This window comes from Homo sapiens, chromosome 10 (genome assembly GCF_000001405.40).
Source record: "Homo sapiens chromosome 10, GRCh38.p14 Primary Assembly".
Classification (NCBI taxonomy): Eukaryota; Metazoa; Chordata; class Mammalia; order Primates; family Hominidae; genus Homo; species Homo sapiens.
In genome coordinates this window covers 111,974,757-112,001,004 of record NC_000010.11, presented here as the reverse complement: position 1 = coordinate 112,001,004, position 26,248 = coordinate 111,974,757, and the positions used below count along the sequence as shown (strand labels likewise).

The 26,248-nt window shown below is 42.1% G+C and overlaps 1 annotated feature.

The window, feature by feature from the left end:
- Positions 1,769–2,283: an enhancer, noted in NCBI's record as "OCT4-NANOG-H3K27ac hESC enhancer chr10:113758480-113758994 (GRCh37/hg19 assembly coordinates)". NCBI's record gives its function as "activates a minimal SCP1, AML or CMV promoter by ChIP-STARR-seq in naive H9 embryonic stem cells {active_cell/tissue: H9 hESC(naive)}" and the evidence as "EXISTENCE:reporter gene assay evidence [ECO:0000049][PMID:30033119]".

Sequence of the window (26,248 nt, the reverse complement as noted above, 5' to 3'; positions counted from 1 at the left end):
CAAACTTTAAGTGAAAATCTTAGATTTTAATAAAGTGGATTTTCTCATCTTTCTTTCCTTAAGAAAATGTCAAACTTTGGGACTCAAAGTAGAACTGAAGGGCCTTGAGTAAATATGCATGAAGATGAAATGGCAATGTGGGCAGCCTGGCTCTGGAACAGACAAATCCTAACGATATTGCTTCTGTGTGTTTTCCCTTCTCTCCCTCATGTTCATTTCTTCCTGAGTAATGCTCTGGGCCTGACAGAGAAGCACATGAGGTTTTCTGGTTGCTGGAATGAGGTTATTTAAAGTAATAAAATTCTGCCAACTAAAGTTTAGGAGGAAAATGCTTAGTAACTGTTGGGAAACAGCCAGTTCCTAGGAAAGCAGTAAGTAGTGTGACCAGAAAAGGAGCTCAGTGGCTTGTGCAACAGTGGGTGGTTCTCCAGGATAGAGGTCAGCCCCTTTGGTGGACGCTGGGAAGATACCTATTTGAAAACTGGTCCCAAATGAATTTCCACTGGACTGTAAGCTCCATGAGGACACAGCTGGTGTCTTGTTTTGGACAGGGCATCCCTAGTGCCTAGGTCACAAATCTGTCCTTGGTAAAATTCAATGGAAAGAGTCCACAGGGGAGAAATCTGAGTGACATAGCAGATGCCTCTGATGCCTGCACGTGCCACATCCCTTCATTTACCTCTGAATCAGCTGCAGCTTCCATGGACTCACCTCGTGTTGCTAGCTACCCACCTCAGATATGCAAGGCTGCAAGGTGAGTCTTCCAGCCCTCTGCCCCAGGGTCCTCTTGGAGGTCACAGGAATTTGCTCAGCTGTGCATTGCAGACTAGAGATGGGGTGACATTAACACGCTGGGCAACCCTCAGCCAGTGAGGCTGGCAGCTGGTGAATACACACTGGTGGATAAAGTCTCTTGTCTTTTAGGTGGACAACTGTGGCAGGCATCCTGTATGTGTAGAAGTGATTTCCTGTTGCTCACAGCAGCAACCCCGGTAACACACCCTGATGTTTGCTTTTCCTTCTTCCCTGTTTCATTCTCCCTCCTCCCTCATTCCTGCTTCCTGAGATTATCTGCTACATAGAACACTCTACCTTTCTTGGTGGCTTTTGCTCTGCTTGGGAGGGAACCCAAACTAAAACAAGTGTGTAGGAGGGGCACGTTCACTTTTATCTTTCCAAGTGGGTCTTTCTATTATTTCAGCCTCATTCACATTCGACACTGAGCCATACCACCCAACTATGAGAGCACATGCCCTGGATGTGGCTGTCTGGGTTTACTTCTTTTAAACAATGTGACCCTGAGCATGTGCAGTGCTTGTGTGTGTGTGTGTGTGTGTGTGTGTGTGTGCGTGCACATGCATGTATATACTGTAAGTGTATATGTAGGTATATATTTATTTGGGCATTTTGTGATATTTTGACTTCTTAAAAACAAACATTTCTGGCTGAGAAGAGACTGCCCCTCCTAGGACTAGTCAACTCTTAGAGGCAACAAAGGGCTCAGCCAGAAGCATGCCTTTGATATGCAAACTAATCAATCCAGAGCCAGGCCTCCCCTGTCTGACCCATGCACCCTAGGAGGCAACATTCATCTGCCTCAGACATCCCAGGGCCAGGGCCCAGGCAGCTAGGAATCAACTCTGTAGAGTGTCCCAAATTATTCAAAGTAGCCAATCCCAAACTATTTTGCCTGCCTTTCGTTTTCTTTCCTGGGGAAACCCCACTGAAGGCTCTGGCCTCCACCTTCCCCTGGCTCCCTTCTTCTGCCTCCTGACCATGCAGGTGCTTTCCCATGTGGTCCTGCATGGTCTGCCAGAGGCCTTCTGTCTGTAGGACCCGTGGGTATAATATACTTTGTTTTCTTGAGCCTCTTTCCTTGTGGCTGCACCTGACTGACCATCTCATGAAAGAATACAAAATAGCATGATCATTTTCAGCATTTTGTTGTATTTTCCTCTGTAAAATGAAAATGATTCCAGCTGATAACCTACTAGGTTGATTATTAAGCTTCAACAAGAGCATGTCTGTGAAGCTCTTAACGTCACACCAGCACGTGCTAAGTGCTTAATCCACGCTAGCTGCTGTTAGGATGATTGCTTCTCATGTAATGCTACTTTCAGTCCTCTATATCTGTTGTTACCTGTGTATGTCGATTATCTCTCCAGCTAAACGGGAAGCTTCTTAAGGACGGGACCTGCTGCTTTTCCATTCTTGTGTGCCCCACTGCACCCAGTTTTATGACTTTCACAGAGTAGGCATTCGATCATGTTATATGAATGAAAGAATATCCTTGCTGTTATTGGCAGTGATTTGAATAGCAACTGCTTATTCTCAGAGCTCGGATGTCTGAAATCACTATACTATCCTCTGTCCTTCAGAAACAAAGACTAATCTCCCAGGCCATGGACTTTTGAGTACATTTTCCAGAAATATTATCATCATCAGATTGCATTTGTAATTGGTTAAGAGTGATTGAGAGGAGAAATTTATTTTTTTCTTCCTTACAACAGTTGTTCAATAGAACTTTCTTTTTCTTTTTTTTTTTCTTTTTTCTTTTTTTTTTTTTTTTGAGATGAAGTCTTACTCTGTCACCAGGCTGAGTGCAGTGGAACGATCTCGGCTCACTGCAACCTCTGTCTCCCGTGTTCAAGCGATTCCCCTGCCTCAGCCTAGTAGCTACCATGTACATTGGAGCTCTTGAACATTAAAGAACTACATAAAAGGTGGTCAATATGACTGAGGAACTAGATTTTATATATTATTGTATTTTTAATACTTTAAATTTAAATCTCAAGAGCCACATGTGACTAGTGTCTATTGTACTGAAAAATGCAACGCTGTGTAGTTCTTGCCTGGGACATGGTTGGTGCTAATAAGTTAGTTGAATGAGTGAGTGGATGTTAAACATTTAACATCTTTTCACATCTAATTTCTTCTTTGTTCTTCACAACTACCATTTGAAGAATTGTAGCAGAGCAATTATTATTGTACAAATAATGGTGATACCACTGCTATTATTGTTGCTACTATTAGTACTAACAGTAACAATAGCCCTAAAGGACAGGTATTGAGTTTCTCCAGGCACCTGCCAGGTACTTTAGACACAATGTCTTATTTATTCCTCATAATAACTTCAAGAGGTGGTGACTTATTTTACCTTTCCTCTTCATTAGTTTGCCAGGGCTGTCACAACAAAGTGCACAGACTGGGTGGGTTAAACAATAGCAGTGCGTTTTCTTAAGTTCTGAAGGCTACAAGTCCAAGATGAAAGTGTTGACAGGTTTGGATTTTCCTGAATCCTTTCTCTTGGCTTGCTGGTAGCCACCGTCTGCTGTGACCTCACTTGGCCATTCCTATGTATGTGCACACCCCTGGCGTCTCTCTGTGTGTCCATATTTCCTCTTAGGAGGATATCAGTCATATTGGATTAGGGACCCCTAAGGATGTCATTTTCACTTAATCACTTTAAAAGTCCTATCTCCAAATAGAGTCACATTTAGAGCTGTTGGGAGTTAGGATTCAATATATGAATTTTGGGAGGACACAGTCCAGCCCATAACACTCCCAAAAAAGACTCCCAGACAAGAACTTGTGTGCAGACCATCCATTTGGGAAGCACAGTTGAGTTTATGTAAGTGAAAGTGAGACATGTAGAAAAGCCAATAAAGGGTGTCTTAATAAACCTCAATCCTGCTGACAACAGACATTGAAATCGCCCAACCAGCTGGGCATTGTGGCGCAGTGCCTGTAATCACAGCTACCTGAGAGGCTTTCACTTGAGCCCAAGAGTTTGAGACCAGCCTGGGCAACACAGTGAGACTTCATCTTAAAAAAAAAGAATTGCTCGACCAGAGCCTGGGGAGGTTGGGGCTTCTACATTGGACAACCCTCTGGCACTTGGGGATTGCCTCTGCCTCTGGCTGAGCAGGCTCTTATGATGCTGGAGAACGTCCTCCAGAAGAGAAGCAAGAGACAGGAAGATGTACTTGAGGTGGGAAGCTGTCAGCTTCAGCTGGAAACTCAGCTGTGCCTATGGGAAGGGGGGTGGAAATGAGAGAACATTAACAACACCTGTTACAGGGAGGTAGTATTGTCCTCATTTTATGGATAAGGAAACTGAAACACATAGATGTTGAGTAACGAATAGAAAATGATGGAATTTGAATTTAAATTTAGTTTATTTTTGGTTGCAGAACCCACAATCTTGGCTGCCTCATTAAAGAAACTCATTCATGGGCCTGGTGCAGTGGCTCATGCCTGTAATCCTAGCACTTTGGGAGGCCGAGGTGGGCGAATCACGAAGTCAGGAGATCGAGACCATCCTGGCTAACACAGTGAAACCCCATCTCTACTAAAAATACAAAAAATTAGCCGGGTGTGGTGGCAGGTGCCTATAGTCCCAGCTACTTGGGAGGCTGAGGCAGGAGAATAACTTGAATCCAAGAGGCGGAGCTAGCAGTGAGTGGAGATCGTGTCACTGCACTCCAGCCTGGGCGACAGTGTGAGACTGTCTCAAAAAAAAAAAAAAAAAAGAAGAAGAAGAAAAAAGAAACTCATTCATTAATTAAACAACGTTTCTTGGGCATCTTCTATATGCCAGACACTGTGCTAATGCAGGGATATAGTGGGGCCACACACAAATCTGCTCCCAAGCAGGTCATGGTTCAGTAGAGACTTATCCAAGAATGAGTCAGTGGTGAAGCTGGGGTGATAACCCTGTCACAGTCTTCTTTCCTGCCCACAAGCTGAGCTACAAACCCAGGTGCATGCACTCTCAGGCTGTGTGCATTCTTCTTTTAAGACTACCTTCTCATTCTTAGATATCAGTCCCTTTGTTGACGTGAAACATCTCAGTTCTTTAGTTTTGTTCCAAAAAGAGGCTACCTGGGAGATGAATAGAAAGTGAGTGTGAAGTTTGTCACTGGACAGTGTTTTCTACTACTCATTCATGTTTGCTCTCCCACCTCACAATACTCCTTGCACAAGCCAGCTCTGCCATGCACCGTGGTCTCTGCACTTCTGTTCTGTGACATGGCCGAGGTGAACATGGCAAAGATGCCTAAGGGACTTCTGGTAAGAGACCTGGAGCTCCATCTGTGATCTGCTTGAAGGGATCTTATGGCAAGTGGGGAGGGATGGACTGAATCTAGCAGTCTCCTTGAATTACTTGGAAGGAAAAGGAAGCTTCTGTTTCCCTGATTTGTGGTGCTTTCAATCAAGTTCATTTATTCAGAGGTGACAAGCACATGAGGTTTACGTTAGAATGTGTGCATTTATGTAGCTACTGATGATGCATATTTAGCAAAGATCAATATATTATACCTGTTTTGACATTCTTGTCTTTTTAGCTGGCAAAACCTTACTTTTTGGTGTCCAAATGTGTGTTGACTTACTCCGTCTCATTTGAGTCTCATAAGAGTTTTACAGTGTGGAAGCTGAGGTCCAGAGAGATGAACACTTGCTCTACTTCCCAGGGTTCTTGGGAAGAATAAATGAAATTATAAATGGAGAAGGAAGTTTGGGAAATGGAAAGTAGAGCATTATGCAGGTGTTATTGTTTTCCAAGTCAAGTGTCTTTTTAGTGACACATCTGGAGTCAGACAGCTTGCTTTTTCACTTCTAAAACAGCACAGTGATCACAGTGATTCTGTGATTCTGCTGCTACAGGATAGTTGTTTTCACTGAAGCCTTTTAGAACATCAAAGGAATCCAATTCCTTCACAGGTGAACACTGAACATCTTGATGTTAAGCAAGTCTGTGAATTACCATTACTACATGTTCCAGTTATTACTGCTGCAGAACAAATTACTGTAAATTTAGTTGAGCAAAACAACATCCATTTTATTAAGCTTCCAGACTCTGTGGGTCTGGAATTCCAAAAAAAGCACACAGTGGGAATGATTTGAATCTGCTTCATGATATCTGGGGCCCTCAACTGGGAATACTGGAAGGCTAGAGGTGACTCTATTGCTGGCGGCTGAAATAACCTGAAGATTCTTTCATTTGCATAACCAGTACTTAGAGAGGGAATAAGACCAGGACTGCTGACTGAAATACTTACATGTGGTTTCTCCCTGTGTCTTGGGCTTCCTTACAGCATGGCTGCCTCAGGATAGTTTTCTTACATAGCAACTCAGGGCTCCAAGTGCAGGTATTTCACTAGACAAGTCACAAGCTGAATTGTCTTTTAACATCTGCCACAGTCTCTTGGTTGCCAAAAGCTTACTCAACTAGGAAACAGGGACAAAGACCTCACTTCTTCATGGGAGGAGTATGTGCGAGGTCATGTTGTCGAAGAGCTTCTAGAATATGGGAGATACTGCTGCATCTATCTGTCCAAAATACAATTTGCTATCTGGTTTCATCTTTTTTGCTCTTTTTCCTAATTTCATTTTTTTTTTAAATTATAGACTCATATGTGCCTATGTAAAATGTTTCAAAGTTTATTTGAAAAGATGTGCAAATATTAACACAAACAATGAACAAACATAAATCATAGCTTTGGGAGCAAGAGAGAAAACAGAAGCATAATTTACATTTTCCATCTGGCTCCATAAAGATAGCTTTTCCTGAGACTCTATGGAGAGAAAATTAGCCACTGGATAAAAATGTAAGCCGTTCCACCTAACACTAATAGCATTTATTACAAAGCAATTACTGATAGCCTTAAACAGCTTCTAGACTGCAGCTGTGATGTAGACACACATTCAGCTTTATACATGTTAAGTGGACGCCTACCATCCTCTCTCCCTGAGTTAATAAAAGCCAACTACATGTGAAACAGGGTGATTGACAACTATAACCATAGTAGCAGCATAAGATATTGCAAGGGGAGAGATTTGACAAGCAATGGGTATTTCTGAGTAGGAAGATGGGAGCAAGTAGTGTGTAGTGTCGCAGATAAAAGCTTCCATTGGATCACATCAAAGCTTTCCTGACAAGTATGTGTTCCTGGGAACCAGACAAGAAACCAATTTCCTGAGAAATCTTTGGAAAGGGGTTTTATATAGGAAAAATCAAAGCAACACGAGGTGGCTTTCCAAAGTCCAGGATGGTTTGTATGAAAAAGAGTGTTAACATGCCTTTGCTAGACTGGCCATAACATTTGTGTTTAGATTTCAAGGACACCACTGACGTCAGATAAGCACACACACACAAGCACACATCATGCTCAGATTAGGTTTGTACCTAATTATGGTTTTAGTCTGTGGAGTTGCTAGAAACATAAAGGTTAGATTATAATAGGATACTTGCAAAACTCCTAATTGAAAAATCTTTATCAGCAGTTATTGAACACCTACTGTGTTCAAAGTTCCAGAAGACACATAAAGATGTTTGACCCTGGAATGTTGCATTCTAGTTGGAGAAACCAGATGTAAAATGTAGAGTGTTGTGTTGCTAATTGGATATGGGTTTAAGAGATAAACTGAGTGTTGCAGACACTGCTTTTGTTGGGAAGATTGTGTACTCCCTGAGGCTGAGGCTGTCTGGCAAGTATTCTCAGAAGAGATAAATCCCAAACTGAATTTGGTGGGTGGCTAGGATTCAAAAGGTGAGAGACTGAGGCATTCCAGACTCAGGCTGAGGGAGCAGGGAAAGAAAATAGGGGTGTACAAAGGTGTGGGAGCAGGGATGCTATGTGTGGGCTTCCGCAGCCCAGGGAGTAATGACAACTGAACTTGAAAAAACTGGTCAGGTCATCTCACAGAGGGCCTCGAATGTGAGGCTGCTGGCTGTTTAGCTGGAGGCAGAGGGAATCACTGCATGTCTTTGTTTTTGAGTGAAGCCAAGAAGAAAGTTCAGAGCTCTGGGACTAGCAGCAGCCAGAGTTGAAAACAACCCCATTCCAGCAATCCCAGCCTTTCTCTGAGGCCTGCCTTTGATTTTATAACTTCCTACCTAGTGACAGCTCTGATAAGGACACTTGGGCCACCACATGAATTACTCAGATCAAATTAAAGTTATCAATCTCCAGTACAAGTAGAAAAGAGAATGAGGCTGCTTCTGAGTCTGAGTCAGAGTAACTGAGGCTTTAGCAATCAGCCTGGATGCTTGGGGAATTGCTGTGTTCCAGGGGCCAGTGTTCCAGCAGGTATTCTGCTTATAACCCACAAAGGAAGGTGAAAAAGTCTGCTTTCAATTCCTCACCACTGCCTGGCTGCACATCAGCAAGGGATGTGCATAGAGGAGCCCCTTATCCTCTTTTATCTAGTAGAAAAGGGTCGGGAACAAACATTAGAGAGAATCAGGTTGGGAAAGGGAGACAGCCCATGTGGGCTTAGGCGACATCCTGCTTGTCTGTCTCCTGCCTCCCTGCTTCATATGGATGCTCAGGGAAAGGCATGGGGCATCAGCGAATGCTCAGCATTGGCAATTCAAAGATACTATCCAACTTTTCTTCCTTTGAACAAACAGCACAAAAGTGATGGGGAATGAATGAGAAATATGTTATTTTTAAGCAGCAACTATATACATTTTCTCAAAATGCAAGGGAAGTTATTTATTCATTTAACAAATATTTTTTGAGAAGCTACTACACACCAGGCTCTGGGCAAAGAATGCCATGGGGAACAAGACAGGGCCCTGTATCATGGAGCTTTGGTCTATGTGCGGAACGGTACTATGGAGGGACTAAGCAGGAAGCTCAGATGGGTGGGTGGAAGAGTAGGTGGAGGCAGGAGGCTTCAGGGGCACTTCCTGGAAGAGGTGATATATAAGCTGAGACTTTTGTAGGAGTTCAAGTTAGTCCAACAAATGGGCTAATCAGGGAGCAAATAGGAAAGAAGAACTGTCAGCAGAGGAACAACTACATGTTCAAATGCCTGGAATATGTCTTAATAGTTTCATGAAACTAAAATACAAAAATAAGACAAACAAAACAATGAAGCTGGCCTATACAGGACAAACAGAAGAAAATGTTATTTTTCTTTTCTCTGCATTCTCATCTCAACCCTGCTTTTCATGAATTCATTTGGTCATTCATTTTACAGTCAGATATCAAGGCATAAAAGCAAGGGGACAAAATGTTTAGCTAAGGCAAGAATAGGACTCTGTTCCTTTTGCTCTCACCTCTTTGGTCTCAGGCAACATACATTTTGGAGCTGAGTGTGCTTGGGCTTGAATCCTGATTTACTCTTGAAATCTTCATTTACTAGCATTGTTACTTTGGTCATGTGGCAAAATGCCCTTGGTCTCAGTTTTCTTATCTGTAAAATGATGTACAGATAATATCTACCACACAGAGTGGTCTGGATAATTCAATGAAATAACACATGTATAAAAATAAAGGTGCCCACTCCACAGTGATCTAGCTTGAGGTTACCGCAGTGTATTTTGTTCAGCCCCAAGTTCACATACAGAGACTTGCCCTTTGCCTCTCTTTGATCTCACAGTTGTGGGGAGTACCATGGAGACATATCTCTGGAGGACAGCCAAATGATGTAGTGTGGTAATTTATGGCATGGGTTAGGTATCACACCACTCCTGGACCTACTGGCTCTGGGTGGGATGCCCCATGCACTGGAGGACTATGTAGTCATCCAAGAAGCTCGGCTCTGACAAAACCCCCATGCACTCAAACAGTTCCCTGGCAGAGGCCCTTCTCTCTGCCCACTCCACTGGGACCTCTGCAGCAGCAGCCCTTGTCTTGAAGTCCACTCACAGATTGGGTTTCTGCCATTTGGGAAGCTTCCTCCTTCTCTGTTACTCAGTTGGGGTGCACTTCATCACCAATGAAATGAAAACCCAGATTGTTAACACCTAAAAAGCTTTTCATGTTACATCTGGGAAGGTACAGTTTCTGACCTCTACTTTGCCTTAAGAAGCAAAGCAAAAAGCAAGCAGAATTTGTTTCTATTAAGAGAAGTTTGAGTGCCTGAGCCCTGGTTACTTAGCCCCTAGAGTCTAACAGCCTAGATCAATGGAGGCTTCTTCCGACCCATTTCTTCTTCCTCTTATTTTTCCCCTGGTTTCTCTTCTCTTTCCTTTCCAGCTTCTTCCTCCTTTCATCACATTCCTACTGGAGATCATAGTCAATTTTTAGTGCAGTATGCCCCTGATTCCTCTAGTGGCCACCGCAACCCATCTTTCCTGAGCAGCATCCTCTTATCCGAGTATTAAATAGATGGGACCTAGTGACCCCCTCTCATGCTTTTTAAGCCTGGGAATTTCATTTCTACCACAACTTGGAGATTGTTTTCCCCCAATAAGTAATATTCTGCTATTCTCTTTCCTAGAATGTTAATTTCCAGAAAGAGCAATGAATTACCTAGAAAGAGCAATGAAGCACAATGAAATACCTGTATATCACCCCCAGAAGGATTAATGTCAATAGGGCTGATAGTTACAAGTGCTGGTGAGGGTGTGGAGCAACCTCGCTAAATGAGGATGGGGTGAGTTCCACAGTGATACTGCTTCTTCACATCCTGAAGTCCACAGCTGCTCTTGGGGTCACCCTAGCTCACTGGTTCTCAGAGTGTGGTTCCTCAGCCAGCAGCATCAGCTTCAGCTGGAAACTTAACAGAAGGGTACATTCCTGTGCTCCAGTCCAGACCTACTAATTCAGAAACTGTGAGGGTGGGGTGCAGCAATTTGGGATTTTAACTCTCACCCCAGGGGATTCTGTTGCATGCTCAAGTCTGAGAACCACTAGTGTAACTCTTAGTGGAGCCACTGAAAACTTGGTAAGAGCAGCTACAGATGAATGCCTTGGGCTAATTCTTCCTATCTGCCCAGTCTGGGCTTCCCTCTCCCTATCAACTTATAACTAGCACACAATTCACGAGGCATGGTTCTTTTTCTTGATTGCTTTGAGCAGTCTTCAGAGGTTCCTAGCTACTACTGATCCATAGAATATCTCTACAAAGGGTGCTAGGGTGGGTTTAAAAAGGGGGAGAAGAGAGGAGAGACAGGAAAAACATCTTTAATGAACTTATTTCCTCTTTGATATGCAAGGAGGAGAGGATGCAAGAAAAAAATAGGGATTATTCCTTGTCACCCTAAAAGTAGCCTAATCAACACATAACAAAATTGCCACAGCTAAAATGCATTGAAAGACAATCTCATTTACTCTTCCTGCTACCCTGACTAGGGAGAGAGAGCTTCTGCTGGAGGACCAATCCATCCTCGTGGGCATGGGAGAGTCCTGCTCATTGGTAGGTAACAAGCTGCTGCTCTGCCATGTTTTTGACTCCCACCACGAGCACGGCTGCTTATGCACGGTAAATTAGATGTGGCTGCCGTGCTGACATGGACAAATTGGCAATTACAGCGGAAATAATGCTGCTCTGGACTTCTGTTCCTGAGCTCGTGCTTGCCAGAGATTTCAACAGCAGGTTGCCTCCTCCTGAGTCAGGTGTTGCCTGCGGCATCTCTGCGAACCTTTCCTCCCCTCTCTCCCGGGGAGGAAAGAGCCGCGCAGGCAATTTGCCAGCTGGGTCTCTGGCGTCCTCAGCCACACAGCAGTCAGAGCCACTGTCACGCAGGTGTCTCTAGCACAAAACTCACGGAAGCAGAATCTGGGGTGGTCGCGGCTCCACTGAGACTATGGGGGTTCTCTGTGCAGGCTCCCATAGCTAAGCAGGCTAGGCTGGCTGAGGATGAGCCCCACCAACGAATCAACATGTGCAAGGCTTTTTTAGCTTTGACAGTTACCAAATAGAAATGTCAGAACGAGCATGTGGTGTCTGTAAGTGCTGAATAACTGGGGGGACAGACTGGATCTTCCTGTAGTCATTAGGCATTTAAACATGATTTCTTTCGGGATGGCTTCTGTGAACTTGCTTGTCTGCTGGGGAGTGCTGTCTTTCTTTTCCCTGTCTACTTAAGAACTGACCTTGATATTCACAAACAAATGGATTAAAATCGATAGAACTGGGCTTTTAAAACTGGAATGTGTGCACACATTACATGGAGATTTGTTAAGATGTAGATTTTAATTCATTACTGCTGTGGTGCGGCCCAAGATTCTGCATTTCTTGCAAGGTGCTAAGTGACGCTGAGGTGACGCCGCTGCTGCTGCTGGTCTGTGGACCCCTATCTGAGCAGCAACACTATAGATCAGCAGCAGCTCCCAGACCTATCTGTAAGTTGGAACCATCTGGGGAGCTTAAACAACTCTTGACATGTGTGAACACCCGATATAGTTTGGATTTGTGTTCCGGCCCAAATCTCATGTCAAATTGTAATCCCCAATGTTGAAGGAGGGGTCTGGTGGGAAGCGATTAGATCGAAGGGGCGGATTTTCCCCTTGCTGGTCTCGTGATAGTGAGTGAGTTCTCACGAGATCTGGTTGTTTAAAAGCATGTAGCACCTCCCGCTTTGCTCATTTCCGTCTGCTCTGGCCACGTGAGATGTCCCGGTTTCACCTTTCCCTTCAGCCAAGATTTCAAGTTTCCCCAAGCCTCCCTAGAAGCAGAAGCCTGTACGGCCTGCAGAACTGTAAGCCGCTTAAACTTCTTTTCTTTATAAATTACCCAATTTCACGTAGTCGTTTATAGTCATGTGAGAATAAACTAATACAACACTTTTCCCCACAACTGTGATTTAATTGGGGTGGGGAAAGGCCTGGACTTTGAAACTTTGACTCCTAAGTGATTCTTAAGTGCATACAGCTTGGGACCCACTGCTCTAGAGGAACTGATAAACAGCTGGTGCCTAGTAGACTCATCAGCAGCCCAATGAGCAAGGGAGCTGGGGTGAGGGAGAGCAGCGTCCTCTGCTAGGGCAACTTGTAAAGTAGGTTTGTTCTGTCTTGCAAAGATGGCTGGGTATCTAAATCACCTGAAACCGTGTTAACAGTTTGCAATTTGGGGCGTCACCCCAGGTTTACTGAATTTGAGTTTGTGAGGTGGGGTCCTGGAAATGTGTATTTTTAACAAGCTTCCCGGGAACTTGGGCATAACCAGCCCAGCACAGGTGTGGACTTGCCTGAGTTGAACACTCACATCTCTCACAGGCTTTTCACTGGAGTCACTTATTAGTTCCTCCAAGCCACCTGCTGTTGAACGATATTAGATATGCATTCTTGGAAATATAGTTTGCTCTGTTACTAGATGTTAAAAAAAATCTCATATGCTGCAGTTTCTCTCCTACTACAGCAGCTAGTGGCTGGCCATAGTGTGTACGACTGAAATGATTTCAGAACCTGGGGACCAACCCAGCCTTTGCTAGTGGGACGTTAGTGCCATCTTGGCCTGCCCTCTGGGCTTTACCAAAGAGATGACTACAGTCTTGGGAGACAAAACTGTGCTTGGAGCTGGGCTCTGGGCTCTACCGTAAGGCTCAGCCCTCGTGAACTTGCGAGCCCTGGAGAGGTTCTCCCTCTGAGTTACCTTTTCTAGCTTTGTGGGCTAAAGCCCTAGCCATTCTGTAGTTAGAGATTTGTATCTCCTTTCTGTTCCTTTTTTTTTTTTTTTGTTCCTTCAGGGGCATTCAAGTGTTTAGATTGAGCTATTGAGTATTGAGTTATTGAGTAGAACTGAGGAATATTAGAGCTGACACGTCTCTGCGGGTATCACCATCTCTCCAGGGCTTGGTTCTGGGCAAATTGACCTCCTTAACCTTCTTGGGTGCACGTTGAGTCTTTTTACTCATATGATTTCTGCCCATGTCCTTCCTTCAGGAATATGCTTCTACTTCTATCTTCCCGTTAAGATACATCCTTCTTTCAGTAATACCAACTTTCTCTTCTTCTGTGAAACTGGTCAGAGTGAAGGGTGGTAGGAGTTGGTATTGAAAATGTAAAATGGGGCTGCGTGTCATGGCTTATGCCTGTGATCCCAACACTTTGGGAGGCCGAGGTGGTTGGATCACCTGAAGTCAGGAGTTCGAGACTAGCCTGGACAACATGGTGAAACCCTGTCTCTACTAAAAATACAAAAATTAGCTGGGCATGCTGGTGGGCGCCTGTAATCCCAGCTACTCAGGAAGCTGAGCCAGGAGAATCGCTTGAACCCGGGAGGCGGGGGTTGCAGTGAGCTGAGGTCGCACCATTGCATGCCAGCCTTGGCGACAGAATGAGACTCCATCTCCCCTCACCAAAAAAAAAAAAAAACAAAAAAAACCCAAAAAAAAAACAACGGACCATTAAATGACTAGCTAAGATGTCTGGATTTAGCCTATTAAGCATGGAACACCAGAGCTGGGGAAAAAACATGATCAGAACTATGCATGAGGAATATTGAGAATAAAAACCAAGAAATGGGAATAAGTTATGAGGCTATTACAAAATTCAAGTGAGTGGTAAATTGTGTGAGCCTCTCTTAGGGGAGCAGAAATTTAGAAAAGGCAATAAAAGTGAGCAAAATAAAAAACATCCCATCCAAAGATAAGTAACCATTTAGATATATTTAGGAATTGACACCAAACTTCTGAGGAGATGAGACATGTTAAAATGCTTTCATAAGCAGGAAAGTGCCATGTAAAAGTAGGATATTGCCACTAGTAACTCATGTCTCTGTTGCTCATGAGTTTATCCAAATCTTAGAAAAATAGATTTAATGACTATCAAAAAGGTTGATGAAAACAGAGGGCATCATATCTATGATGTGGTGACCTGGTTTGTCATCAAAATGAAGTTACCCAAATATCACATCTACTTTTAAAGCAATCCAAATTTTAAGTCTGAAAATTCTGCTTTGAAATGCCACAAAAATGAAAGTTTCTCAAGTGAGTCATTCAACAGGACAGGCTGTTCTTTTTGGTTGTTCTATTCAAGCTACTCTCCAATCTCAAAAGTTTAAAAATACATGTCTGTGTCCCAATGGAGTCATCATCTATGGCTTGGTACAACAATTTATGATTTAGATCCAGGAAACAACTTGAATCACCTATTTCTCCACTGGGTTTTTAATAAAACATTTCTCAACATAAACTTGCAAATTGATGTCCATGTGCTATTTCCAATGGAGATTAGTACAACAGACTACCATTAAAATCTAATGGGTTTCTCTTGGAAGCTACAAGTATTATAAATGTTTTAAGGGAAGGGAATCATGTCTTAATCTTCCTGGAATCCTTCAAAGATCCCAGTCCTGTATCTGGCCCAGAGTAAGCAATCAATAGATATTTGTTACATTAGATGCAATTGCTGTAGGTTAACAGTATTTGTCTACTTGTTAATAAGTTACTGAAACATTCTGATTAACGTAAACTTACCTAAGACATGTATGAAATGACTATCATGGATTTAGACCTTAGTTGTGCTATCTGATTGGAACTGACAGCAATCCAACTCAAAATGACCTAGACTTTAAAAAATTTATTGCTGTTTGTCATGGGAATACCAGAACTATGTTCAGAAAAAAATTTTTTTTTTTTTTAAAATCTTTCAGGTGTGCTTGCTTCTGTATTGACTTTATTCTCCTGTAGGGTGTCTCATTGTTATGCAAATATGGCACCGGCATCTGCAGGCCTACATTCTATAAGCTTCAAAAATATAGAAGAAACAAAATTCTTTTCAATTATTCCAGCATCAAACTCAAACTGACTTTTATAAGCTCTGATTGTCCAAGCTTGGCTCATGGGCCCATCCCTGAACCAACCATTGTTACCAAGGAATATGAAAGTCACTTTTCCTAGCCCTGAGTTATTCCTGGATCTGGGGAATGATGCTAACTTCACCAGAGCCACTCAGGCTGAAAGTTGAGAAAGGTAATTTACAAGGGACAATTAAGATTCTGCTACTGGAAGGTAGAATAGATGCTGGACAGGCCAAAAATAGTAGATACCCATTTCAAGAGGATTGACATATATATCTGAAACAAGTTCAGTCTTCAAGGAGCTTAGAGTCTGGTACTCAAACTATTTACAAACTTTGCTGCAAAAAAATTAACACGTATTTATATTCCTGAGTGGAATTCAGACTTGGAAATCTAGTTTGGACAAATTGTTCAAATGCAAGGGACTTGTACAAAACTTTGTACATGGGATTCCTCAATGTTTGATCAGGCTTCCCAATAGTTAAATATACATCTGCCCTAACCTTAAGTCTATTCCACCTGCAGTTAAATGAGTGAACTTTGTTTTTACTTGGAAATCAGTAGTACCTTCTTAAAAACCTTATGCAAGTACATATATTCCTAAGACATATTTTCCATAGCAATCGTTCCTTAGAGCATAATCCCTGCTGGTTATGTAAGATGTGGGCTATGTGCCTATCAACAGACACCGAATCCTTAAACTCCATTGTTACTGTTGTTCTTTGATGACCAAATAGCACCAATGGATGAAAATAAGAGACATGCATGTCACAAGGAAGAGGCTGCCATCATTTGCATCCAGGTGTGATTTTCTGTGCTTAGACTTGCTCCTTACTCAATGTCTTAGGTTGGGTTTCCTAGAAGCAGAGTCAGACAAAATTCGTATGCAAGTGATTTCTTGAGTGAGTGCTCTCAAGTATGGTCCTTAAAGGAGCCAGGGAAGCAGGAGAAGACTAGGGAAGAACCTGGATGAAGATGTAGGATCCTAGCCTCAGTGTGATGACAGAAGGAGCTCTGGAGCATGAGAAGCATCCCAGTGTCGTCCCTGGGGAGGTAAGGCAGCCAGCTTCTAATACACATATTGTTCAGTCAATGGCAGCAGTCTTCTCCCTGCCCCATTCCTTGCAGTATTGTGCTTTGGGTAATCTCTACGGGATTGCTGGAGAAAATGGTTCCTGTTGATAAGGATTATTCTTAAGGAAAGGGTGACAGCTGTGAGCCATTTGCAGCCAACGCTCCCAGTTGGAGACTGGGAGGAGCGTTACCGCACCAGCCTGTAAAGGGGATCTGGGTAATGCGTGAACAGCTTATGCTGTCACAATGGTAAATTATAAATGTGTGGATGCTAAAGTCAGTCTGGTAGACAGTTCCCTTGGCTACAGAGACGCATTGACAGTGAACAAGTTTTGAACACACACACACACACAGTTTGTGGCTATACTCTCACTGTAGGAGATTGTAGGCCTGCCTGCCTCACTTTGGGACATGATTGGCAGTATTGTGTACAAATTATTATTTCAGCAGGAACAATGGAATTGTTGCTGTAATGCAACAAAAGTGCTTTCCCCTTGGAATGCTAGGAAGACATCCCAAAGATTTTCACAGTAGTTCTTTTAAAGGAGCATCAGTTTGAAATTCATTGTTTTCTGAGTTTTAAGGTTAATATGACCATAGGAAACAATAGGTTGTAATCTACTCTTAGTTCTTGTTCTATAGCTTGCCATTGGCATTGCTAAATAGACAATGCAAAGAAGAAGGGTGATTCTTAGTTTCCATCAAAGACTAGCTCCAGTACATTAACTAGAGTGTATCATTTCATAGAAGGGCAGCTCCTGAGAAGAACTGATGAAAACACATTCCATTTACAGAGAAAGATTAAACTGGGCCGTGAAGTAAACATGGCCAAGAAGTAGAAATGGTACTCTTCCTGACAAGTAATTCTAAACTGGCCCACGCTGAATTTAGGGGCTGCAGGATCTACAGTCCTTTCTGGCCTTTCTTTACTGTATTAATGGGAACATCCAGAGACCTTCTTTGGGAATGAAGCAGGTTTTCAAAACAACATTCATCATCAGGTTATAGTGGCTGCAATACAGCACTGAGGGCATGAGGCTAGGGAGTGAGGGACAATCTCTTTCTCTTGCCTTGGTCCTGATGGGTCTTGGATGGTGGTGATTTGGGGGTGGGCATGGGATGGGTAGGGGCAGGTGGTGTACTGCCTACAGGATAAAGCTGCTCTCATTTGTAATTACTGTGGGGAGGTGAGGCAAGGGGGGAGGCTGTTCTGGCTTTTCTAATTTCAAAAGATGCCTAAAGGACATAATAGGAGCTACATGCTTTTCATTCACAAATAGTTACACCAGAGAATGCTAACTGGGGTTTGCTACCTTAAGTGGCAAGGAATCTCTTGGAGCAGTTGGGGGGCATCATTATCTTGTTTATGTGCAAAAGAAGATTTAAGTAGATGAAAAGATGATTTTTATCTAGACAAAATGTTCCTACCATCCTGCATGTATAACCCAATTGCCTCATGTTAAAGTCATTCATGGATGGCAGAGGCAGCCAGGGCTGAAGTTGCCCATGTGTGATTGTACCTTGTAGATAAATAAGTTAAATGAGTCTGGTTCTGTTCTTCTATAAATACTAGGAGGAGCAACTATGAGAAGGAAACACTGAAGTCAATGTCCCAATGAAGACAGGGACCTGAGAAGACACATAGACAGACAGAGATGGGCTCTAGGAATGAGCTTTAAGTTTGCCCACTAGTGATGGTGGAATCACATTTTGCCTCCTTCCCTGCTCCCAGTTGAAGAGAAAGTGACTTGCTTGAGGTCACACAACTAGTTAGTGGGAGGCAGATCCAGGGCTTCACTCTTCAACTCCCATACCTCAGGGCTTTCTACTATACTTGAAATTAGAAGACAGGACTCATGGCTATGTGACCCATCTCTAAGGACTTCCTTAATCAGTTTTAGATTTATCCCCATTTTCTGGGGATATAACACTACCTTTTCCCACCTCACAGAGATTTTGTGACAGATAGGATATATATAAATACTTTGGAAACTGTGGGCCATTACAGTAGTCCCCCGCAATCCAAGGTTTTGCTTTTCATGGTTGTCCACGGTCCACCATGGTCTGAAAATATTAAATGAAAACTTTCAGAAATAAGCGATTCATAAGTTTTAAATTGTATACCACTCTGAGTACTAGACCGTGATGAAATCACCCAGGACACAGATTCCCCCTTTGTCCTGTTGTAGACACTGCCCACCCATGGGTCACTTAGTAGCTGCCTCAGTGACCAGATCAACAGTTGTGGCATCAAAGCGCTTGTGTTCAAGCCACACTTATTTTACTCAATAATGTCTCCAAAGTGATGGCAAGAGTGGTGATGCTGGCCCTTCAGATATGTCATAGAGAAGCTGTAGAGTGCTCCTTTTAAGTGAAAAAGTGAAAGTTCTTCACTTAAGGAAGGAAAATAATCGTATATGGAGGTTGCTAAGATCTATAGTAAGAACAAATCTTCTCTCTTGAAATTGTAAAGAAGGAAAAAGAAACTCATGCTACCTTTGTGGCACCTCAACTGCAAAATTATGACCATAGTGTATGACAAATTCTCAGTTAAGATGGAAAAGGCACTAAATTTGAGGGTGGAAGATATGAACAGACACGTGTTCTGATGGACAGCAATCCAGTTTGGTATTATCTGGGGTTTCAGGCATCCACTGGGGGTCTTGGGACATTCCCTGTGGATAAGAGGGATTACTGTATTTAAATATAATGATACTAAAAGATTTATTTCTAGAGTACCACACTGTCTCCCAGACTCCTGAAAAGTTATCCCTCTGCCGGGTTTCTCACTCCAGTAACATTCCTGTCAGTGGCTGCTCTTTGAGGAGAAGGTAGAACTTGTTTCCTCTGATGCTTTGATTTTAACTGTTTGGAAATAGTCCTTGCCCTGCTGAGAAAAGGTGTCTCTTTTTGAGAAGCCAGGTGTTTATTTAATTATGCATCAAAGGCTCTTTTTAGAACACATGGAGGCTTTTGTATTATAAAGAAACAGAGTGAGAAACATGTTTTCAGCAATCAGCTTTCAATTCTTATGCCAGTGAGTAAGACATTACAGGAAAACCTGGAAAAACTGCAATGAACCGATGTTTCTCTGTAGTTTTCCCTGGCAGGGATGCAAAGAAGGATCAACATTGTTCTACCCATGATATGACACAGGGGTAGTGTTCTAGGCTATGGTTTCTGTTTCCTTCCTGAGCTGAAAGTTAGTCAAAGACTGAAGAGTTTTAGCCTCATTAATCAATACCACTTCAGAGAATGACTATTAGCTTTGAGCAGTTTAGTAAGAACAGCCAAAAGGCAGTGTGAAATAGAGGAAAGAGCCTTCAGGGAAGAGGAAGTCTCACTGGATTTCCCTTTTCCCTTTGGCTACTAGAGAGCTCAGAGCCAAATATACGGCTCACTCACAGACTTGGCAAAAGGCATGAACTCTAAATGGACTAAAGATTTAATGTAAGACCTAACACTGTAAAACTCCTTGAAGAAAATATAGAGGAAAAGCTTCTTGACATTAGTCTTGGCAGTGATTTTTTAAAATATGTCAAAAGCCTAGGCAACAAAAGCAAAAATTAACAAATGGGACTATATCAAACTAAAAAGCTTTGTACAGCAAATGAAACAATCAATGTGAAAAAGGCAACCTGCGGAATAAGAAAATATTTGCAAACCATACATCTAATAAGTGGTTGATATTCAAAATACATGAGGAACTCACAAAATTCAATAGCAAGAGATCAAATAAAGAACTAAAAAAGAGGGGCCAAGAACCTAAATGGACATTTTCCCAAAGAAGACATACATATGACCAACAGATCTATGAAGAAATAGTCAATATCAGTAATCATCAGGGAAATGCAAATCAAAACCATGAGATATCACTTCACACCTGTCAGGAAGGCTATTATCAACATGGCAAGAAATAACAAGTGTTGGCAAGGGTGTGGAGGAAAGGGAACCCTTCTACATTGTTGGTGGGAATGTAAAGTGGTACAGCTATTATGGAAAATGATACAGGGATTCCTCAAAAAATTAAATAGAACTGTCTGATCAGCAATCCCACTTTGGGGTATATATCCAAAGGGAATAAAATCAGTATCTTGAAGAGATGTGTCCACCCCCATGTTCATTGAACATTATTCAGAATAGCCAAAATATCTAAACAACCAAAGTGTTCATCAAAGATGGAAGGATAAAGAAAATATGTTATATATACAATGAACTATTATTCAGCCATGAACAAGAAGAAAATGTTGCCATTTGTGATAATATGGATGAACTTGGAGGACATTAAGCTAAGTGAAATAAGCCAGAAACTAGAAGACAAATGTATGACCACAGTTATATGTGGAATCTAAAAGAAGTCAAACTCATAGAAGCAAAGAGTAAAATGGTGGTTGCCTAGGGGATGGGAGGTAGGGAAAATGGTGAGATGTTGGTCAAAAGGCACAAACTTTCACTTGTAAGATGAATAGTTCTAGGAGTCTAATGCACAGCATGGTAATGGTAATTAACAATACTATATTGTTTACTTGAAATTTGATAAGAGATCATTTTAAGTGTCCTTATTGGCTTACCGCCACCAAATGGTAACTATGGATGCTGATGGAGGTGATATTAATTTGACTGTGATAATTAGACAATGTATATGTATGTCAAATCATCATGTTGCACATCTTGAATATATACAATTTTTGTCAGTTAAATATTTTAATATTAAAATGAATTGATAAAGATGGGTTTATTATTTGTTTCTTGTGGTGTATTTCAGGTTCCATCTATGTCCCTATCACTGCTTTCTCTTTTCTTCTACTGATTTATGTGTTCCCCTGCCCTCCCTTTTTTAAGAGATGAATCGTGTTCTGTCACCTAAGCTGGACTGCAGTAGAGCAATCATAGCTCACTGTAGCCTCAAACTCCTGGGCTTAACCAGTCCTCCTCCCTCAGCCTCCCATGTTGCTGGGATTACAGGCCTGAGTCGCTATGCCTGGCTGTGTTTTTAAAAAGCATCATGCTAAACTGACATGAATCCTCTTTGGAACAATGGAGAGTACAGATTATAACAACTTTGAGTTTTGTCTGGTTATTCCTTCTTTCTGAGGCTGATTAGAACTTGGCTGAGATCTATTTCTGCCCTCAGATGTAATGAACAGCCTGAGAATAGCACTCTCAGGGGCTGGAGAGCGTGGAGTCGGCCAAGGGCAGAAGAGCAAGATCGATACAGGGACAAGATTTAGAGAACAGTAGGGCTGGAAGGGAATCTGGCGATCTGAGATTAAGCCATTATTTTGCAGATGGGGAGACTGAGGCCCAGAGAGAAGTGTGTTGCCTGTAGGCACATGAATGGTAGTGGCAGTTCCAGACCCGATTCCAGGTTTGTGTGTGTGGCAGGGCAGAGCATTCCCTTTCTCCCGCTCCTCCTCCAGTCAAGGTGGTCAGGGGTTCTTTTGGGCATAATAATACATCAAAGTTATCTGATGAGAGATGACTTACATTAACAAAAGAAAGATTTTTTTCTTTATAGATGTAACTAACACCAATGGATGTGAACATCCCAGACCAGACTGCTTGCCAGGGCAGATTCTTGGAGTGTCAGTAAAACTGGATCTGTGACTTGTTAATTAAGAGTCAGGGAGCAACTGCATGAAAGAAGAAAGCCATGAACCTTCAACACAAAGGAAGGCTCAAAATGAACCTGGGAGGAGACTAGTAGGGAAAGGGAGTTGATGGAAAAAACAGGAGAAAGGTCTTCAGGACACTCATGTGGGCAGATGCCACAGTCCTGACTAAAAGGATACTGAAAAGGAGTAAAAAAAAATTTTGGTTCACTTTCTGTGCCTTGACTTCGTTCTTCACTGGTTATGAGTAAGACAGGAACTTTCTGGGGACAGACTGAGCCTGTGTACCTTTTTGACCATTGCAGGACATAGTACCCAAGATACACTGAGTTTTTTCCCCTCTTCCTCAGAGGCTCTGCTGTGTATGTGTGTGCTCCTTGCATGCAGTGGCTGGGATTTAGACAGCCCATCCAATCTGTCATTGCCAATTTGAACTCTAGGTCTATCCCCATGGTATAGCAAACCCCATTTGCTTGAGGTCATTTGAACATTTAATGAGTATACTTTTTGTATTATATTGAGTGAAAGCAAAGCCCACTATCAGAAAAGTCTTAATAGAGAAGATGAGACCCGAGTGAAATTGGCATAACTGATGGAGAGAAAACATTATTTTTAGCATTAATGATTACCGCCAACCACCATCCAAAAGTATCTTCTTTTAATCAATACATTTGGAGACAGATTCATTGGCTCCAGTGACTTTTCAGTAGAAATGTCAACTTTGTCATTTTCTTCCGGATGAGTAGCATCTCTAATTACTAAGTGTGTGGGAGCTGAAAATTACAGATGCTCTTTTGGAAATGAAACTTCAAAGATGATTTTGATGAGATTGCAATGTGGCTTACCCTATATAACTGGTCTCTTATTGTATAAGTTTGAGCAAGTTTCCCAAGTGGAGTGGAAACAGAAGCTAGAGAAAGTAAAGCAGCTCATGCTCACCCAAGACCTTCATGAAGTGGCAGTTGAATTAGATGTTGCTGGTGCTGCATCAATGGTCTAGAGAGAAGGTCCCTGAAGAATTTAAGACATGGTTTACAAATGTTCTCCTTTATTCACATTTTTTCATATTTTTAAAAGCATGAGAGAGTTCCTTTTTGGTATATTGATCAAAGATGTAACTGACCAGTACTGAAATAGAATGACTAGCTCCAAGTGCTGCCAGCTAGCTCACTTGTATAAATAGAATAAATTTATATAACGTATAGGACAGAGTTCTGTATAAATGGAATGAATAGGCTAATGAAAAAAGCACACAGAAGGGAGAATTTACCCAATCTCATAGTTTTAATTATGTGGGAAATTTCATGTTTTATTTTTTAATAGAATAATATTATCAGCATAAATATGATGTATAGATGGATTGTCTTGGAAATGAAGTCTCCAATGGTGAGCTTCCTTTGGTAGAAGAACTCTCATCCAGTTGCTTACTGACTGGTGCTCTTTGCAGCAAGCGGTGACTTCAGAGTATGACACACTTAAGAAGAAGTTTGTGGAGCTGTGGCAGAAATGTGGCATGAATCAGGCTGATGCCCTTGCCTCAGCACACCTGGACAGGTGTACTTGGAAAGCATCTAGGGGATGCCAACTCCTTAGGGTTATTTTTAATTCTTCCTGAACCACAGAGAAGATTAATGCTATTGGACATGGCAATGGTTTCATTTGATGCATTTCTGAAGCTCTGTTGTTAGCATTCTGAGTGAACCTTTTAGATAAAAAGCACTTAGTGGGAAAACAGAAAAGCTGTTATTATGCTACCTTTAAACCTTTCCTCCTTTTCTGTTTCAATTTAGAGATTTAAAATGCCCTTTTGTTTCCACCCCTTGGCTTGTTTCACTTTTATTCTTGCTAAAAGGAATAGCTGCTTAGAAGGTAAGAAATAAATCAATGGGTGATTTCTTTTCTTAAGCATCTGACAGTTTCCTTAATGTAGATAAGAAATGGATTTAAAAAAAATCTTGAGTGTGATTTTGCTTTGGGGTTTGAGTTAAAAGTATAAGGTAGCTCTGATTCCAACAGCGGAGCAGAAAATTTATTTGGTTTTAGATCTAGAGAAGATCTTAAAATGATTTAATCAAGTCAGCATTTTAATAGATGAGCAAAGTGAGACTCAGAAAGGCAAAGTATCTTTTCCAAGGTCATACAGCTAGATGGTCGTGGTGCTGGGTCCACTCCTGACCAACTCATGCACTCATTGGCTCATGAACACTAGTCATAAATATTTATGGTTGTTTGTGGTCATATTTCTTCTGCTACCCTCCTTGCCATTCCTCCAGCCTCCTTTACCTGTTCCCAACCTTCTCACTTCTGTTCCATTTCTGTCTGGTTCTGTGATCTCCTTTCCCCAATCCTGCCGTGGCCTCTAGTATTTGGGACATCCTTTCTGGTCGTGCTAGTTTGATACTTGCCATGCCCTCTGATTCTCATTGCCCCTGCTGCCTCGTGTAGGGGTTCCCTGTTCCAATTCCGGCTCTGCAGAACCTAAGCCTAATTGAGACCATCAGCTGCCATGCTGGCTGCACGATTCCACTCCAGTCCTGGAGTCCATTTGCTTAGGTCGAAGCACATTTAATTGGTAGCTGTGAAATTTTTCAGCATACAAAAGACACTCTCTCTCTCCTCCTCACGTTCTGGCATCCTTCATGACTTGTCATTTCTTCTCTGGAAGTTTGATGAAAAGGAGCTGTGAGCAGGGCTGTCCTGAGAACAGCACATTAAGAGCTGTTAATGTGTTCATATGTTAAAATCCTCCCTGCAAATGTGCCATTTTAAGGGCCTTCTAAAAATTCATTTACCCCAAAGAGTGATGTTGGTGACAAAAATTTCCAGGCAGTACTAAAAGTGTCTGTTCAGTTTGAGCCATCTGAGACCCCCTCACGTCACAACGTTTAACACAACTTTCCCTACTCTGAGGTGCAAGGCTTGGTTGAAGGGCTTTGGACTTGCAATGGAAAGACCTAGTTTGAGTCCTACCTCTGCTTCTTGCTCCCTATGTGGCCTAAGCTGGATCTCCAAGCCCCTGTGAGTTGTCACTTTTATATTTGTGAAGTGGAGGCAAAAATACCAGCCTTTTGGCCCCCACTGAAAGGCTGTTTAAGATAAAATAGATCTAATTCCTTCATCACTTGACTCCTAAAGTCCTGAATTCTTGCCTGTTTTTCCTTCCTGGCCACTCTTCCTTAGCCCTTCCTCCTAGTTCTCTTTTTTCTGACTACTTACATATAACATGCCCCAATAGTCAATAATCAATTATCTTCTTTTACCACCTTTGAGAAATTACCTATAGCTGGTGGCCATCCATTCATATTTCCAGACCTAACCTCTCTCCTAAGCTTCGTGTCTGTACCTTCTGCACCTGGACATATTATGGGCAGATCAAATACAGTATGTCCACAGCTGCACTTACTATCTTTTCCACCACACTTGCTCATGCCCTGACACATTCTGATTTGGTCAATTACATCACCATGTACTAAGTCATCCAAGCCGGGCTCACTTATTTAATTAGCACTTATCAAGCACCTACTATATACTCAGTCAGTGTCCATCATTTTAATCTCTTACCGTACAATCAATGGGTGAGTTCTTCCCTTATGCCTCTCAAATCAGTCTTCTCTCCCTTCTTCCCAATGTCTCTGACTTTATTTGCTTATGTCTGGATTTTTGGCTCCCAGCTGGATTCTTTGCATGCAGTTTTCAACCTTTCTCCAAGACATTCTCAACATTACCATGTAATTAATCTCCCTAAAACACAGATCTTGTTATCATTTTTTTTTGCTCCAAATATTTTTGGGTATCCTATCCCTTATATGATCGAGTTCAAACCTTGTAGCATATTCAAATACCTTCACAGGGCTGGGTGTAACTACTTTTCCAGCTTGTTCTAGCTTTAGATTTCCTCCAGATGTCTCATACTCTAATATCCACATGCAGCCTTGATACCTTTGGCTTTGATCATGCAACCCATTGCCATTAATTTATTCAGAAACCATTTACTCAGAATTTACTATTGGTAGGTGCTCTCTTAGATTCTGGAGTTATAGCAGTGAACCAGCTACTCAAGATCCTTGACTCCCAGAATATAT